General features: G+C 40.3%; 1 protein-coding gene and 1 long non-coding RNA gene across 7 annotated transcripts in view, besides 1 other annotated feature; one reads left to right on the top strand and one right to left on the bottom strand.

The window, feature by feature from the left end:
• Positions 1–10789, top strand: part of PTCHD1-AS (PTCHD1 and PHEX antisense RNA) — a 1100142-nt gene extending 1089353 nt beyond the window's left edge. Inside the window, exons 10-12 of the long non-coding RNA NR_073010.2 lie at positions 1024–1106; positions 6719–6776; positions 8207–10789. This is a non-coding gene — a long non-coding RNA (PTCHD1 and PHEX antisense RNA). The remainder of the gene's footprint in view (positions 1–1023; positions 1107–6718; positions 6777–8206) is intronic.
• The window catches only part of PHEX (phosphate regulating endopeptidase X-linked), a 218986-nt gene that overhangs the window by 47517 nt on the left and 153932 nt on the right, over positions 1–17537 (bottom strand). For all 6 annotated transcript variants that reach the window (NM_000444.6, NM_001282754.2, XM_024452390.2 and 3 more), the window contains one exon: positions 13292–13350. In NM_000444.6, the coding sequence (NP_000435.3) occupies positions 13292–13350 (59 nt within the window). The remainder of the gene's footprint in view (positions 1–13291; positions 13351–17537) is intronic.
• Positions 10957–11216: an enhancer, noted in NCBI's record as "active region_29488". NCBI's record gives its function as "activates an Ori minimal core promoter by ATAC-STARR-seq in GM12878 lymphoblastoid cells {active_cell/tissue: GM12878}" and the evidence as "EXISTENCE:reporter gene assay evidence [ECO:0000049][PMID:35858748]".

The raw sequence follows: 17537 nt of genomic DNA, 5'->3' as shown, positions 1-17537 counted from the left end.
ATACTTTCAAAACTGAAACTTTACATGCCTTATACATTATTGACTGTAGTAAAGAACAAAAAGAGTTTAAATTGCACCTGCTTTAGAAAATCCGGGATGAATGCTTACTCTAAGAATGAATGTTACATCTTATTCAGGATTAGTTCTTGTAATCAGATAAGCCCGACACCATTCTAGAATCTAGGGGGCCATCAGTCAGGACATGGAAATTGCTGCAATTACAAAGCACTTTTGGTTATGGTTTTTGCTGTAAAATGATTTCATTGTCATCACTGCTAAGATTAATCATGGCTTTTTTTTCAAGTTGGCATCTTGCAGTAGTTTGGTGAATGCCAACCTTCCCCTTTCCAGAAAGTATCAAGTTCTAACAGCTGTGACTCCTGTCAAGGGATTCAGCAAGATGCCTTAGCCATCTGCTGGCTTCCTGCAGGTAACCTCCTGCCACCACATCTATCAGCCTAGAGCTGACAAGCAGAAAGCAGCTTCTGAAATCTGCCCTCCATCTTGAAACCTTCTCTGCTGGCCCTTCTATTCTTTTTCTGCCATAATTACCTTTAGGCTGCAACAAAGAGAACCTCCCTTCACCCCTGCCACCCTTTACCAGGGTGACCAACCATCCCTGTCTAGCTGGGACAGAAGGGGCTCCTGGGATGCGAGACTTTCTGTGCTAAAACTGGGATGGTCCCAGGCAAACCAGGAGAAGTTAGTCACCCCACCTTTACCCAACAAGTCTGACCTCTTCTGCATTTGCTGCCTTTTTATAGCTCAGCGGTCCTCAATCTTTGGCATCTTGCAGAAGTTTGGTGGTTAAGACCTTGTTAAAACATAAATTGCTGGGCCCAAATCCCAGAGTCTCTGATTCAGGAGGTAGGGCCAGATAATCCCCATCTATCACAAGCGATGCTGATGATCCAGGGACCGCACTTTGAGAACCACTGCTATAGTTTAACATCTGGCAAAGAAAACACTAATTTCCTTCCACTATAAAGCTCGGTGTCTCATATTCTACTCATATTCCAACAGGTCCTCTCATTTATTGATTGCTGTACTAAGTATTTGAAACTGACACTAGCAGCAGGGATATTCAGCCCAGGCCTGGGAGCATGGTAGGTACTCAACAAATGCTTATGTGGGTTCACTGAACCATATCTGGTTATGCAATAATGGTCTCAAGAATGAAATGTGACTGATATTTTCCCTATATCAGTTAGACAAAAAACTGAGTCTCTCTATTCATTTCCTCCAACAGTATCTTTAAGATGCAACTCATTAAAGGTTAAACCATCTCATTTGTTGTTACTGGAAATACAAATTTGTACTGCTTTCTTGAGAGAAGTTGGGTAAGATGCATTTCAAAACCCTCAAATGGGGCATACCATTTGATACAGCAACTCCTCCACTTCTAGGAATTTACTCTAAAGAAATGGTCTCAGATTTAGACAGAAAGCCACAAAACTTATTAATACAGAGGGTTCTTTAACAATAGGGAAACAGCCTAAATGTCCATTGGGAAGTAATTAAATAAATTAAGGTGTTTTCTCAATTGAACACTACACTCGATGACTTGGAAGAATATGTAATAAATGGAAAAAATATTCATGTTACAATGTTCAGTGGGGAAAAAGTAGTACTGTTGGATGAGTCTAGTTAATTTAAACTGTAAAATATTTGTAGATAAACATACATCTCAGTGGTATTCAACAAAGGTATTAACCATGACTATCTTTAAATGATATTAACTTTTTAAATTTTTAGTTCACTTAAAATTTTTCTAGATTTTCTACAATAAATATGAACTCCTTTTGTAAATAAGGGTAAAAAACAATTGATTTTTTAAAGAGAAGACAAATGAGACTGTGACCATCAAGGTCAATTAATGAGATTTCTCCCTGACATCCTGTCTCCTGTTCCCATGGCTGGTTTTTAGGTCCCTATGCTCACCTCACCCTGGCTTGCTTACATCCTGTCTTTAATCAGGTTGACTCTGATAATCATTTCATGCTTTCCTACTACCAGCCCTGCAGCCAACCTGACCAGTGCACTATGTCTGAAAACAGCATTTAGAAATACCCTGCAAGCGGCAAATTGCATCCTTACAGGCATTGGTTCTGGGACTTACCATGGTAACAGGAATCCCATGAGACTGCAGAGCATTCCAGATGAAGCTAGTTTTGTCCTCCCAGGATACTACCCAGAACACCATTCTCAGGTGCCTCCTTGGTTAGGCTTCAGAAACTGGGGGTCTGTATCAGGACCTCCAAATTCCTCAACTAGACCAGGACAAGAATGCCTTAAAATCGGTGTAGCAGGTCTGGGCATGGTGGCTCACACCTGTAATCGCAGAACTTTGGGAGGCCGAGGCAGGTGGATCACTTGAGGTCAAGAGTTCGAGACCAGCCTGGCCAACATGGCAAACTCCTGTCTCTAATAAAAATATATATTTTAAAAAAATAGCCAGGCGTGGTGGTGAGCGCCTGTAGTCCCAGCTGCTCAGGAGGCTGAGGCAGGGGAATCGCTTGAACCCAGGAGGTGAAGGTTGCAGTAAGCCAAGATCGGGCCACTGCACTCCAGCCTGGGTGACAGAGTGAGACTCTGTCACAACAACAAAAACAAAAAAGTTGTAGCAGGTGTTCCACAGACTTGCTAAGTGCATCATCTGTCAATTTCACAAACTATTCAAAGTTTGTTCATGACTTAACTTCAGCTCACTTAACAAAACTTTTAAAATCTCAGTGTAAACTTTGGAAAGTAAAGCCTTTTGGGGGAGTATATCTAAATACTCCTTTTAAGCTAGCTTACAGAATAACCCCTCCTCCACTCTTCCCATAAGCTAAAGACCCAAGGAGATCACAGGCTTGGCCAAAAAGCTTGCAGAGAACAGCATCGTTAGAAGAGGCAATAATGAACTGCTTGATGCCACAACCCTTTTGGACATGAAATCAGTAGGACTTGGGGACCATCTAAACTTCTCACTCTCACCTCCTGGCTGCCTTACATTCTATAATATCTTGTTTCCATACCAGAAGAGAAACAATCCCCCAACCAGTGAACGAGCAGCATGGGTGAGGGGGTGATATAATAATGATTACTCTAACACATTTATATCATACCCTTAACCTTTTCAGAGTGTGTTCCTGTATATCATCTCATGGCTATTTTTTATTTTATTTTTTATTTTTATTTTTGAGACAGAGTCTCACTCTGTCACCCAGACTGGAGTACAGTGGCACGATCTCAGCTCACTGCAACCTCCGCCTCCCGGGTTCAAGTGATTCTCGTGCCTCAGCCTCCCGAGTAGCTGGGATTACAGGCACCAGCCACCATGCTCAGCTAATTTTTGTAGTTTCAGTAGAGACAGGGTTTCACCACGTTGGCCAGGCTGGTCTTAAACTCCTGGCCTCAAGTGATCCACCCACCTCAGCCTCCCAAAGTGCTGGGATTACAGGCGTGAGCCACTGCACCCAGCCTATCACGTGACTGTAATTCTCACATTTCCTATCCAGTTTTGAACAGTGTAGTGTGACGATAAACAGGATGCAATCAGATAAGCTGGGTTATACTCCCAGCTCTGCAATTTGCTAGTTTTGCAGTCTTTTGCAAGTTGCATCACCTCTCTGAGCTTCAGTTTCTTCTTCTGTAAAATGAGCCCATAATACCAAGTTTATAGAACTGTTGTGAAGATTAGAGATAACATACATTAAAGTACCTGGCATAATGGTTGGCATATTAATGGTTCCTCAGCAAAGCCTAGCTGCACAGAACAGTTATAATCTCCATTTGATGGAAGTCCTGTAAAGCCCTAGTGGAAAAGTTAGAAAAGTACAGTAGTCCCCGCTCTTGTCCTTGGGAGATATGTTCCAAGACCCCTGGTGGACACCTGAAACCTCAGATAGTACCAAACTAATACACACACGCACACAATGCACAAATTTCTTTTTCCTCCACAACTTCATGTATAGAAGATTCGTTCTTACTGTAGATCTTAGCAACCTCAGTATATGATTTCTTTTTAAATTTCCTTAAGTGGAGAACTTTCACCTTAGCACTGAAAGGAAGCTTCTCTTTGGCATACCTGAATTGCCAGCATCACTACTCTTATGCTTTGGGGCCATTATTAAGTAACATAAGGGTTACTTGGGCACAAGCACTGTGACAGTTGATCTGGTAACTGAGACAGCTACTAAGTGACTAACAGGCAAGTAGCATATACAACATGGATACACTGGACAAAGAGATGATTCACGTCCCAGGTGGCACAGAGCTGGACAGCAAGAGATTTCATCATGCTACTCAGAATGGCACACGACTTAAAACTTAGGAACTGTTTACTTCTGGCATTTTCCACTGAATATTTTCAGAACTTGGTTGCCCATAGGTAACTGAAACAATGAAAAGCAAAACCATGGATAAGGGAGGATCACTGTGCTATCTGTATTATCATTATGCAGTTATTTGACAATTATCTCCTGGGATATGATTTATAAACTTCCTACTCCTCCTCACCCCTGTCATTGCCTAAGTTTAGGCCCTCCCCGTCCTTCTCTTGAGCCATTTGCAAAACTCCTAACTGGTCTTAGTGGCTGCAATCTGTCCCTCTCCAGACCATGATCTTTAATACTAGGATTAAGGAAGTTGATATGGTTAGGCTGTGTTCCCACCCAAAGCTCATCTTGAATTGTAGCTCCCATAATTCCCACATGTTGTAGGAGGGACCCAGTGGGAGGTAATTAAATCATAGGGGCAGGTTGTTCCCATGCTGTTCTCATGATAGTGAATAAGTCTCATGAGATCTGATGGTTTTATAAATGGGAGTTCCCCTGCATACACTCTCTTGCCTGCCACCATGTAAGACATGCCTTTGCTGCTCCTTCGCCGTCCGCCATAATTGTGAGGCCTCCCAGCCATGTGGAACTGTGAGTCCATTAAACCTCTTTCCTTTATAAATTACCCAGTCTTGGGTACGTCTTTACTAGCAGTGTGAAAACAGACCAATACAGAAGTAAAACTTAAGTTATTTGCCTCCCCGCAAAAAAACTATACTAGCTCCCTCTGGCCTGTTCTTTGACATGACCCACAAAGCCTTCCTTCCACTTATCATCTCCCATCACTCCCTTTGCTGTCTCTTCCACCAGTGCAAGCTGTGCCCCAGCATTTGTGGCCATCTCACAGTCTGTTCCTGTGCTATGTTCTGCCATATCTGCGCCTTTGCACCAAACAACAGTGCTTCTTCCTAAATGCCCTAATCTCACTTCTGTGCCCAGAGAAATTTCTTTTTCTTTCCAAAGTCCACTCAAACATCAGTTTCATAGGGAATCCAATCTTGACTCCCCCAGGCTTAATTGCCCCTCCACTGTGGCTCCCAGAATGCACTGCACACCCTTCTGTTGCACACTCACCATGATGTCTTCTAAATGACCTGGTAACAAGTCTCTCTCTCCCAGCTCCTCAAAAGCAAGGACTAATAGCTAATGTTTATTGGGTGCCTACTATGAACCACACTCTATACCAAGCATTTTATATATATATATAATAGTAGTAACCATCCTATAGGGTTAAGATTAAATGATATTATATATACAATATTAACATATATATAAGTATATATAATTTAATATATACTTATATATTACATATTGATATATATTATATAAATATTATATAATATATTATATGTATAATTTATAATATATAACTATAAATGTATATTAATATTAGATATAATTAATATTTAATATTACATATTAATATTATGTATCTAATATTAGATTATAAAATGTACTAGATAACATTAGATATTAAATATATAGTATCATTTAATCTTCACAAAAACCCTATAGGATGGTTACTACTATTAGCTCCATTTTACAGATAATTAAACTGAGGCTTAAAGATGTTAAGTAACTTGCCCAAGGTTGCAAGTTATTAGTGGCCAAGCCAGGATTCAAAATCAAACTGTCATACTTCAGAGCTCACACCCTTAACCACTAAACCACACAAAGTTATATACCCTCCTACCAAACTCAGTTAGTACCTGGGCATGCTCTAATAGCTATATTAGTTACCTCTTGCTGTGTAACAAATCATCCCCAGACATAGTTGCTATCTCCCCATTTCTCTGGGTCAGGAGTTTGGAAACAGCTTATTTGGGTGGTTCTGTATCAGTGTCTCGTGAGGTTGCAGCCAAGATGTCAGCCTGGGCCACGGTCATCTGAAAGCTTGGCTGCACTGGGGATCTACTTCCAAGATGGCGCACTCACATGGTACTCCTAATGAGCAGGGGGCCCCAGTTCCTTCACATGTGGATCTCTGTGTGAGCTCCCTGAATGCCCTCACAGTGTGGTGGTTGGCTTCCCCCAGAGTGAACATTATCCAAAAAACAAAAGCCACAATGTTTTTTATGACCCAGCCTCAGAAGTCATAATCTAGAATTTCCATAGCATCCTATTAGTTACAGTGGTAAGCCTTACTCAGTGTGGCAGGGGACTAGACAGGGGAATGAATACCGGGAAGTGAAAATCATTGGGGCCTTGAAAATTCACTTGAAAATCAAGTGAATAAGTGGAAAAAAAATTACTAAGAATTGCTCTGAGTGTCAGGATCTCTTTTAGGTAGTGAGAAATTTGGATGAGGTGACCACTTAAGTTTCTTTCTAGCTCTAAAAACAATGGAAGACTATTCCCAAATTCTATATATTAGTCTTATATTCTCATGTCCCCAGATGGAACATCAAGTGGATTCAAAGATTTAATTTCATTAAATTCCAAGAGAAGCCACAGGTGAGTATTTGCTAACTTAGCTTTTACTTTATGGTTTCAGGCAGAGCCAGTGAAGTATGAGAAATTCTCCCAGTTTGAAACACAGTTATTTCCTTAACAGCAAAACAAATCTATGTTTGATTTCCAGGTTAATTCCATAATTCGATGCCCCCATAAGCCCAGCCTCTGGACAAAGGCTTATCTTCTTTAGCAGAATATCTGTGATTAAACTGAGGGGAAAAAAATCCCTTGTGTATAACAGCAAAGATAATAAAATCATTGGTTTTAGCCCTTAGGCCATGCTTGTTTTCAAGCCAAGATCTTATCTGTTTAAGATACTTCTTTAATTTGATTTGAGATGTATGAAAATAAAAACCAAATACTTAAATGAGGCGCTTTTCAAATATTCATTGATAGTGAATACTTAAAATGAATTTTCTTCTAAAGACCAATCCATGTTAGTAGAAATGAAAACCAAATATGAGCTGTTCACTCTTCCCACCACTACCACTACCTGAATATTGCCACCTGTTTTGTAAATAAAGTTTTACTGGAACACAGCCAGGTTCATTGGTTTATGAACTGTCTATGGCTGCCATGGCAGAGTTGAGAAATTGCAACAAAGACACTATGACTTGCAAAGCCAAAAATATTACTATCTGGCAATTTACAGAAATAGTTTGCCAATCCCTGGTCTACACATCTAGAGACTTAGCCTGAGGCAACCTATTATTAGCTCCAGATGTCCATGCATACTATACGCTGTTCCAAACATTTTTATGGAGAAAAGGAGCAGTGTTCCTATTTATTTTGAGGTGTCACTTAACATACAGTAAAAGCATACATTTTTGTTGTTGTTAAAGACAGGATCTTGCTCTGTCACCCAGGCTGGAGTACAGTGGCATAATCATAGCTCACTGCTGTCTCAAACCCCTGGGCTCAAGCAATCCTCCCACCTTAGCCTCCAGAGTAGCTGGGACTACAAGTGCATGCCACCACACCTGGCTAATTTTTTGTTGTTTTTTGTAGACACAGGGTCTTGCTATATGGCCCAGGCTAGTCTCGAACTCCTGGGTTAAAGCAATCCTCCCACCCTGGCCTCCCAAAGTGCTGGGATTACAAGCGTGAGCCACCACACCCAGCCAGACACAAATTTTAATGATAGAACACGGTGAGTTTTTACTCTTGTATCACCTGTGTAACCACATCTGAGATCAAGATAAAGAATGTGTCACATGCCTCCTCTCAGTCAATACCCCCAACAAAGGTAGTCATTATTTTAACTTCTATCATATAGATGTATTTGCCTGTTCCTGAACTTTATACACATGAAACAGAACAGTATTTAGTCTTACACCTGGCTTCTTTTACTCAGCATTTAGTCAGTTGCATGCATACATATTATAATGTGGAACATTATAATAAAATCTCTTTTTTTTTTTTTGAGACAGAGTCTCACTCTGTCGCCCAGGCTGTAGTGCACTGGCACAATCTCGGCTCACTGCAACCTCCGCCTTTTGGGTTCAAGTGATTCTCCTGCCTCAGCCTCCCGAGCAGCTAGGATTACAGGCGCCTGCCACCAAGCCTGGCTAATTTTTTATATTTTTGGTAGAGATGAGGTTTCACCACGTCGGCCAGGCTGGTCTCGAACTCCCAACCTCAGGTGATCCGCCTGCCTCAGCCTCCCAAAGTGCTGGGATTACAGGCGTGAGCCACCATGCCCGGCCTAAGATCTCTTGAGGGCAAAAGTTTGAAATAATCCCCCCTGCCGATCTTTATATTTTGCTGTTTGTCTTGTGACACAATGGTTATCGCAGGGATTCCTGGCATGCCAGGTTTAGATATACAAGCCCTGAGCTTGGCAATGTGCTGGCACTTTACAAATTCGTCTCATTAAATCTTCCCCTAAAACCCTATGGGCTAGATAGCCTCAACATGTGGCAGACAGGACAATAGGGGTCTGGAAGGATAAAAACCTCGACTAAGGCCATACAAACTAGATCTCTGATTCATGTTCTCACCTTGCCACTCTGAAAAGCAGCAAGATCAGTGTCGCAGTTATCACAAAGTTAGGGTTAAGCACCAATCATTTCAGATTTGTGTTTTCCTCTTTAACCACCTTATTCAAATATAATTAAATTTTATGACAGCTACTGAGTTTAACTCCTCATACAGCAGATTTAAATCATTATAATTTCACACTACATGCCATGTCTAGAGACGTTGCTACCCAGCTTGACAAGGGAAGAAAAATAAGAAGTTGTAACCACCCTGTAAAAATCTAACATTGAAAGATGGCCACAAATCATAGGGTTCCACACAAAGGCATGGATTTGAAAAAGAAAAAACAACTACAGGTTTTTCTGTTTTCTATTCAAGTCTCTATTGCGTGCAGAAGAAGATTTAAGTAGCATAAATCAGAAAATGATAATGGGAACTGAATGAAATTGTCATAAATCACGTTACTAAGTATAGTTACATCTTAGATGTAAAACCCAATTAAACAGATGGCCACATGCTGTCAGAATCAGCCCCTAATCAATAAAGATGTTCATTTTAGAGAATCACCTCAATTTTTCACTTCTTCAGCGAAGCAAAAAGAAGGCAGTTGTAGGGTGGGGGAAGTCCCAGGAAACCCGGTGGGGAAGTGTGTAAGAAGAAACTCCACCTGTCTTAATTTGTAGTCCAGAAAATCAGAAAGGAGAGAGGGGAAAAAAAAGTCACCCAAAGGATTCCTTGTCATCTTGCCTGGGAATGTAATTTACAATGAGAGCAAGCACTGGTCATTAGGAAAACAGAAACAGCTTGAATCTCTTAATTAAAATACTGTTTCAAATTGTTCATTTTAAAAAAAACCCTCTGCCCATGAGCTTTCATGAAACCATTGGGTTACCCTGAAATGGTTTCTTCCTCAGTAAACCTCTGATAGGATTAGCCCTTCCCAGGCAAGAAAAAGGCTGAGCAGGGGTGAACCCTGGAGATGGAACTATTATTAGACACACTTAAGTACCCCAAGGAGCAGTAAGCCTTCAGTGACATTTTAAAGTGAATGCGGAAACGTCGGCTTTTCTTGCATCAGAGCTGATCTCTTACACTCGCTAGACTGGTGAAAATTAAATCTACCAATGCCAAGAGTTGATGAAAATGAGGAACAACAGAAACACTTCTGTACTTTGGAACACCAGCTTTGGAAAACATTTGATATTATCTGGTAGATAACTTCTTCCTATCAGCCAATAATTCCACTCCTGGATGTATACCCTCAGACACTTGTTCCAAGAGACATTCACAAGAATATGCAGAGCAGCACTGTTCATAAGCAAAAACCTGGGTGTGGGGACTCATAGGCTGGACAACAGAAGAATAAACAATCTGGGGGTACAGTCATGAAATATTATACAGCAGTGAACATGAAAACAACCTACCACCACATGCTACACGAACAAATCCTAAAAACATGTTGACTGAAAAATCGCAGTTGTTTAAGATTGCATACAGTAAGATACCATTTTTATTATACTAAGAAACAAGTAAAAATAAACAACATATTCTTTAGGGATACCTATATAAATAAAGTTTTATTTTAAAAAAACAAAACAAAAATGATAAACCCTCAAATCAGAAGAGTGTTACTTCTGTGGTGAGAGGGAGGGATGGTTCCTGATGGGGTGAGGGCGTCGTAGGCACATATTAATTTCGTCATGTTTTCATATATTCTTTATAACTTATATGTGCCAAAATGTTACATGTTCTTTTGCATGTACCAAATATTAGACAATAAAACGTTTTTAAGTGAATAATCTAAACAATTTCTATTTCCCAATAGAATGTCCTAAATGTGATTATAATTAATAATAAATTATTATAAGTATTAGTTATAATTAATAACTCAAATATCATAAGTTCCCATATAACATATGCAACTTAGTTCTCAAGTTGGCATTTAGGGCCTTAAGAAAGCAATGGTAGTTTCGTGATAATGAATATTTATACAGTAAGAAGTGACATTCAAAATATTTAACAACTTACTTGGTTATGTAAATTAATGTATAAATAAAAAAATCCCGCCATCTGCTTGTCTTTCGTCTTTCTGTTCATTTCTCTCTCAGACCGAAGTCGGGCAGAAACTGCCATTCCTAACAGTGGCCACACGAGGGCGGCTCTAAGAAGATGTGCCAGCTGGTAGTGAGCAGCCACAGCCTTCCGGCTGTCCTCTGACCAGAGTCCTGTAGGAACAACGGCCAGTATGGAGGACCCACGGCAGACTGGCCAACTGGCCAGAGGGAAGGCAGGATGCCTCCCTAAGGAGGTGGCCTGGCCTTTGAATAAAGATTTGAAGGAAATGGGAGCATAAACCAGGCAGGTCACTTGGGGAAGTTTTCCAAGAGAAAGCCAACCCCAGGTATAAATGCTCCCAGAGCAGAGCGTGTCAGGTGTGCTCTATAAACACGAAGGAGGCCAGTGTGGCCGGAACAGAAGGAGGGAGGAAGGGGGAGAGTAGCAGGAGGTACAGGCAGAAAGATAACAGACCTTAAGGCCATTATAAATAATTTGGCTCTTTCTCTGAGTGAGATGGGATGCTGATAAAAGCTTTTGAGCAAAGAAGTGACACGATGTGATTGTAAAACGTCTTAAAATCGCTACAATATTATATTTAGAATAGACTGAAGGGGGGTAAGAACAAAAGCAGGGAGGCCAATGAGGAGGCTATTACCATAATCCAGGTGGGAGATAGTAGTGGTATGAACAAGGGTGATAAATTCCATCCCCTGCATTCAACACTGTAGAAATGTGATTAAAACCATGAGATTAGATGTTATCACCAAGCAAGTGAGCAAAGATGGAGAGAAGAGAACAGAAAAGGTGCAGACTGAGCCTTGGGGCATGCCATCATTAAGAGATATGGGAGATGAGGAGAAACCAGCAAGGATTTGAGCAACAGTGGCCCACCCTCCCCAAGACAAGCCACCACCAACCGGAATTTGGTGTTTGTCATTCTCATGAATGTCTTTACACTTACACTACAAATGGATGGACCTCCAAACCATGTGTAGAATTGTTCTGCATGATTTTCAACTTTATTTATATAGTATCATACTTGATATATTTTCCCAAGTTGTTTTACTTGTGAAATTCATCCATGTTAATATATGTTGCTCATTTTTCACTGCTGTATGGTATTCCTTTGTGTGAATATGCCACATGTGACTCATCTTCCTGCAGAGGAATATGTAGGTTATTTTGCTTTTTCTACTATTATAAATAATACTGTTATGAGCATTTTTGCATGGGCTTCTTTATGCCTTGTGCAAGAGTTCTCTAGGGCAGCTGTTCCCAAACTTTAGCATACATTACAATCACCTGCAGGTTTTATTGCACCAGATTTCTGAGCTCCACATCCAAAGTTTGATCAATAGACCTAAGGTGGGGCCTGGGAATTTGCATTTCTAACAAGATCCCCCATGATGCTATTACTGCAGGTCCAAGGACCACATTTCAAGACTCACAACATTAGAGCACATTCCAGGAGCACACATCATGGTCATAGGTATGCATGCACAACTTCAGCTTTTTGAGATATTGTCAAATTGCCCTGCAAAGTGGATGAGCCCATCTATCTTTCCACCAGCAGTGAGTATGTGTCCTTATTGCCAAGGCTGGAAGCTGTCAGACTTTTTATTTGTGCCATTCAGATCTTAATAATTTTTTAAGGCCAGGTGCAGTGGCTCACGCCTGTAATCCCAGCACTTTGGAAGGCCAAGGTGGGCAGATCACTTGAGGCCAGGAGTTTGAGACCAGCCTAGTCAACATGTCAAAACCCCATCTCTGCTAAAAATACAAATAAAAAAAATTTAGCTGGGCGTGGTGGTGCACACCTGTACTCCTAGCTACTCAGGAGGCTGAGGCACAAGAATAATTTGAACCTGGGAGGCAGAGGTTGCAGTGAGCCAGGATCGTACCACTGAACTCCAGCCTAGGTGACAGAGGGAGACTCTGTCTTTAAAAAATAATAAAAATAATAATTTTTTAAATTTATCATGGTATTTTTAATTACATATACCTGATACATGTAAGTAGAAAACCTCAAGACATAACTTCCTAGCGTTAATAAGAATATTTCCAAGCTTCTTTCTTACATACAGATGGTCCGCTCAGGTTCTACAATCTGCTCAGTTACCTGCTGTTTTCCCCACCAATCCTAGGAATGAATAAAATGGCATGGACAAAATCAGTAAGGCCATTATGAAAGGAAAGTGGAAACTTGCTCCTTTTCATGGCAAACTTCATTATGGTTTAATTTGGTTTACTGTAGTTGACTTTTTTTCAATCAGTGGTGACATAAAGCTTTAAAAAAAACTGGTAAGGTGAAGAGAGTGAGGAAAATTTGGCATATAGGTAGGAGAACAACCTTCCTTCACCAGCATACCCTGCCACTTTTGGGGGAAATAAGAAATGTCTTACCCTCCATCATAGTCATGGAAAAGTTCTTTGCATTTTATACCAGGTTACCAAGGAGACAAGGAACCCGTACTCACGGATCTGGTTGGTGGATGCACTGTAGAAGGCATTGACAGTCGTCGGATTTGTAAACCACCTGTAGAAAAAGAAACAAATGCCAGAGAGCAATCATCATTATACAGGCAGGAGGGAAGCAAAGACAAACACAGCATGGCTGGGTTTATTAGCAGATAACATGGAACAATGGGGATGTTGGACATGAGGGGAAATTATTCCCTCAGTTTGGGGCTACTGTACTGCTCAATGAACAATCTCATCCTAAACTGAACATGGCTCAATGAAAATATATTAACATGCCCAGTTATTTATTGTTACTAACTTAACAGAAAAAAAGTCAGCACACCAGTGCTTTTGAAAAAGTTTTAAAGAGAAATTCTAGAATCTAAAGGGCTGTCCCTGCAAATGGAAACACAGCAACTATATATTTGCCAGGCCCTATTCAATGGGTTGAATGGACAATTGGGTTTCTATGCTGCATTACCTCTGGCCTGTCCATTTAAAAGTTCTGGATTGGTGACAACACAGAGGTCCATTTAAAGAAAGATGAATAAAGTCCAACTATGCCACCCAGAGGGTCTGCCTGCTCCAGTGGAAAGTGTACTGCCTCTATCACTAACTAGCTGAATTGTGTGGGAAGAGTCACCTACCTTCCTGGGGTTTGGTTTTAGCTATAAAATTAAGGCATTGCATTAGGACATCTAAAGGATCCCTTCTATCTAAAAGGAGTCTACACCCAAACCTTAAATGCACAATAGGTTACTGGGATCAGCAGTCAGCAAATTTTTTTCTGTAAAGAGTGAGATCATAAATATTTTAGGCTTTACAGGCAAAGAGGCAAAATCAAGGATATTACGTAGGTACTTAAGAGCAAACTGTCCACAAATTTTATTGATGAAATCCAAAAAATAACAATAGTAATCAAGTACAATTATTTCTCTTTTTTTTTTCAGAGACAGGGTTTCGGCATGTTGGCCAGGCTGGTCTCAAACTCCTGACCTCAAGTGATCCACCCACTTCAGCCTCCCAAAGTTCTGGGACTACAGGCGTGAGCCACCATGCCCAGCTGAGTACAATTATTTCTAATATATGCCTATTAATGAGAATAACGGAATTATTTTGGGATGAGATAACCTTTTGCTTAATTGGGGTTCAAAGTTATGCTTCTCCAATTTGGAGGTTCCTCAAAGAACTAAAAATGGAGCTACCATATGATCCAGCAGCCCCACTGCTGGGTATATACTCAAAGGAAAGAAAATAATCAAAGAGATATCTGCACTCCCATGTTTGTTGCAGCACTGTTCACAATAGCCAAGATTTGGAAGCAGCCTAAGTGTCCACCAACAGGTGAATGGATAAAGAAAATGTGGTACATATACACAATGGAGTACTATTCAGCCATAAAAAGAATGATATCCTGTCATTTGCAACACATGGATGGAACTGGAGGTCATTATGTTAAGTGAAATAAGCCAGGCACAGAAAGACAAACATTGCATGTTCTCACGTATTTGTGAGATCTCACGTATTTGTGGGATCTAAAAACCAAAACGATTGAACTCGTGGAGATAGAGAGTAGAAGGATGGTTACCAGAGGTTGGGAAGGGCGGTAGGGGAATGGGGGAGAAGTGGGGATGGGTAATGGGTACAAAAAATGTATAGTTAGAAAGAATGAATAAGACCTAGTATTTGATAGCACAACAGGGTGACTATAGTCAATAGTAATTGTACATTTTAAGATAACTATAATAATATAAGCGGATTGTTTGTAACACAAAGGATAAATGCTTGAGGGGATGGATACTCCCATTTTCCATGATGTGATGATTATGCATTGCAGGCCTGTATCAAAATATCTCATGTACCCCATAAATATTTACAACTACTACGTACCAACAAAAGTTATTTTAATTAAAAAACAAAAACAAAAAACAGAACAAAGTTAGGGCTTCCCCATCATCAAACCACCTGCAAACATTTATCTCTAAAAATTATTCTTAGCTCATGGGCCACACAAAAACAGGCAGCAGGTGAGATTTGGCCCACAGGCCATAGTGGCCAAACCCTGACTTAGATGGTTGTGAGTTTCAGTGACTGCTTGTTATGATTAAAACCAAGCAATTCATCTTAAGCAAAATTGCTAAAAATAAACTCCTAGGCCCAGCAGTGGCATGCAAATATAGTTCCAGCTACTTGGGAGGCTGAGGCAGGAGGACTGCCTGAGCCCAGAAGTTCCAGTCTCTAAAAAAATTAAAAAGAAAAAAAAAACTTGTATAAATCCCTTTCTAGAATAATTGTATTACTCATTTACGTCTAATAGGATAATTATGTCAGACTAACAAATTAATTTATATCAGGTTAATATGAAACTAATAGGAAACCCAATTATTGATACTAGTTGGTAAACTCATACCTTCTCCCCAGCTACAAAGAAGTCTATGAATATGTCATTCTGTTATCATTATCATTATATTTAGCTAACATTCATTGAGCACTTACTATGTCCTAAGCACCTTCTATTCATCAGTTTTTCCCCATGGCAACATAGGAATTATTAGCCCATTTCACAGACGAGGATAATGAGATTTATGAGCATTATGTGCTTGTACGAGGCCTGGTCTGTCTGACTTCAAACCAGTTCGCCTAAGCATTATATTATACTGTAGACATTACTGGAAATCAAGAAAGAGCACCTCTTCTCTCTTCAAAACCGAAACCTAGACATATTTCCATAAAATGCATATTCTTTTCCTTCAAATTTAGGGTATTTCAATTAAGCCCTAGTGTTTAACATAAACTTGCTGGTTGGCCTACTTTCCTGAGGAAACAAGTGAAGGGGAAAGCACCTCTATTGACCTAACTTGGCTACCTGTAGTAGGTAAAATTATGGCCAAGTCCTAATCCCTGGATCCTATGAACATGTTACATTACATAGTAAGAAGGACTTTGCAGGTGTAATTAAGCTTAAGGACCTTAAAATAGAGAGATTATCCTGGATTATTCAGGTAGGCTCAATCTAATCACAAGCCCTTAAAAGCAGACAACCTTGTTTGGCTGGAATCAGAGAGATGCAACAGAGGAGGAAGTCGGAGAGGAGGAAGGGTAAGAAGGATTTGACACGCTGCTGGCTCTAAGATGTAGGGGCAATGGGCAAGGACTGCATAAATCCCTCTGAGAACAAAGAGTGGCTTCCAGGCGATAGCCAGCAAGGAAGTAAAGACCTTACCCCTACAATCAGAAAGAACTGGATTCTGCCAACAACTTGAATCCCCTTGGAAGGGGATTATTCCCAGAACCTCCCCATAAGAGCCCAGCCGGCTGACACTCTGATTTCAGCCTTATGAAATCCAAAGCAGAGAAAACAACCAAGCTACCCTAGACTTCTGAGCTAGAGAACTGTGAGATAATAAATCTGTGCTGTTTTAAGCTGCTTAGGTTGTAGGAGTTTGTTACAGTAGCAATAGGAAACTAATGCACTATCCAAAGAACCCAACATTTGTAGGTCAAGAGGGGAAAATCCAGGTGGGTGCCTTGGCTTCTAAATAACACTGGAATGAATCATAATACATACAAAAGATAACGTGTATTCCTAGAGCTTGTCCCTTCTCTTTTTGTTCTTCCCAACTCCCCTCTCTTTAAAATAACAAACTTTTAAAATATTCAGGTAAGGGCCATGCAGGGAAAATGTTCCTAACTGCTGGTAGACAAAGGTAGACAAAGCAAACCAAACAACCAGTCTCTGAAACTAGACCTTAATGGGGCTTCTGAAGCTTCAACAAGAATAACGAAAACATCTTATTTCAGACACATGATCTTACCATTCCTGACCTCCCAGGGCTCTTATTGACTCTAGGGCACGTATGGAGACTTGATAATACCCAGAGCTGATATTAAGCAGCTGCACCAGTAGATCCTACCAGTTGTTGATGCTGTTATTTCTTCTATTTGTTCAGGGCCCATGCCAAACCAGCTGTTAAACATTTTGTATATCTCCCGTATTACATCCAAGTTTATTATATATTTAGTTTTACTATTCTCTAATGTAAGGCTACATGTGCTAGTTTTAATATGTGTTTGTGAACTTTTTTACACTCCTCCCATTAAGAGATGGAATCTAAATTCCTCTCCCCTTGATTATGGGTTAGCCTTAGTGACTCACTTCTAAAGAATAATACGCAGCAGAAATGACAGTGTGACTTCCAAGGCTAGGTAATTAAAGGTGATACAACTTCCCCCTGATGCATACAAACACACCCTCCCTCCCTT

The sequence above is a fragment of the Homo sapiens genome, chromosome X (assembly GCF_000001405.40).
Source record: "Homo sapiens chromosome X, GRCh38.p14 Primary Assembly".
Taxonomy (NCBI): domain Eukaryota; kingdom Metazoa; phylum Chordata; class Mammalia; order Primates; family Hominidae; genus Homo; species Homo sapiens.
Note: the sequence above shows the minus strand (reverse complement) of the source record. Positions and strands in the feature narration are given on the sequence as shown.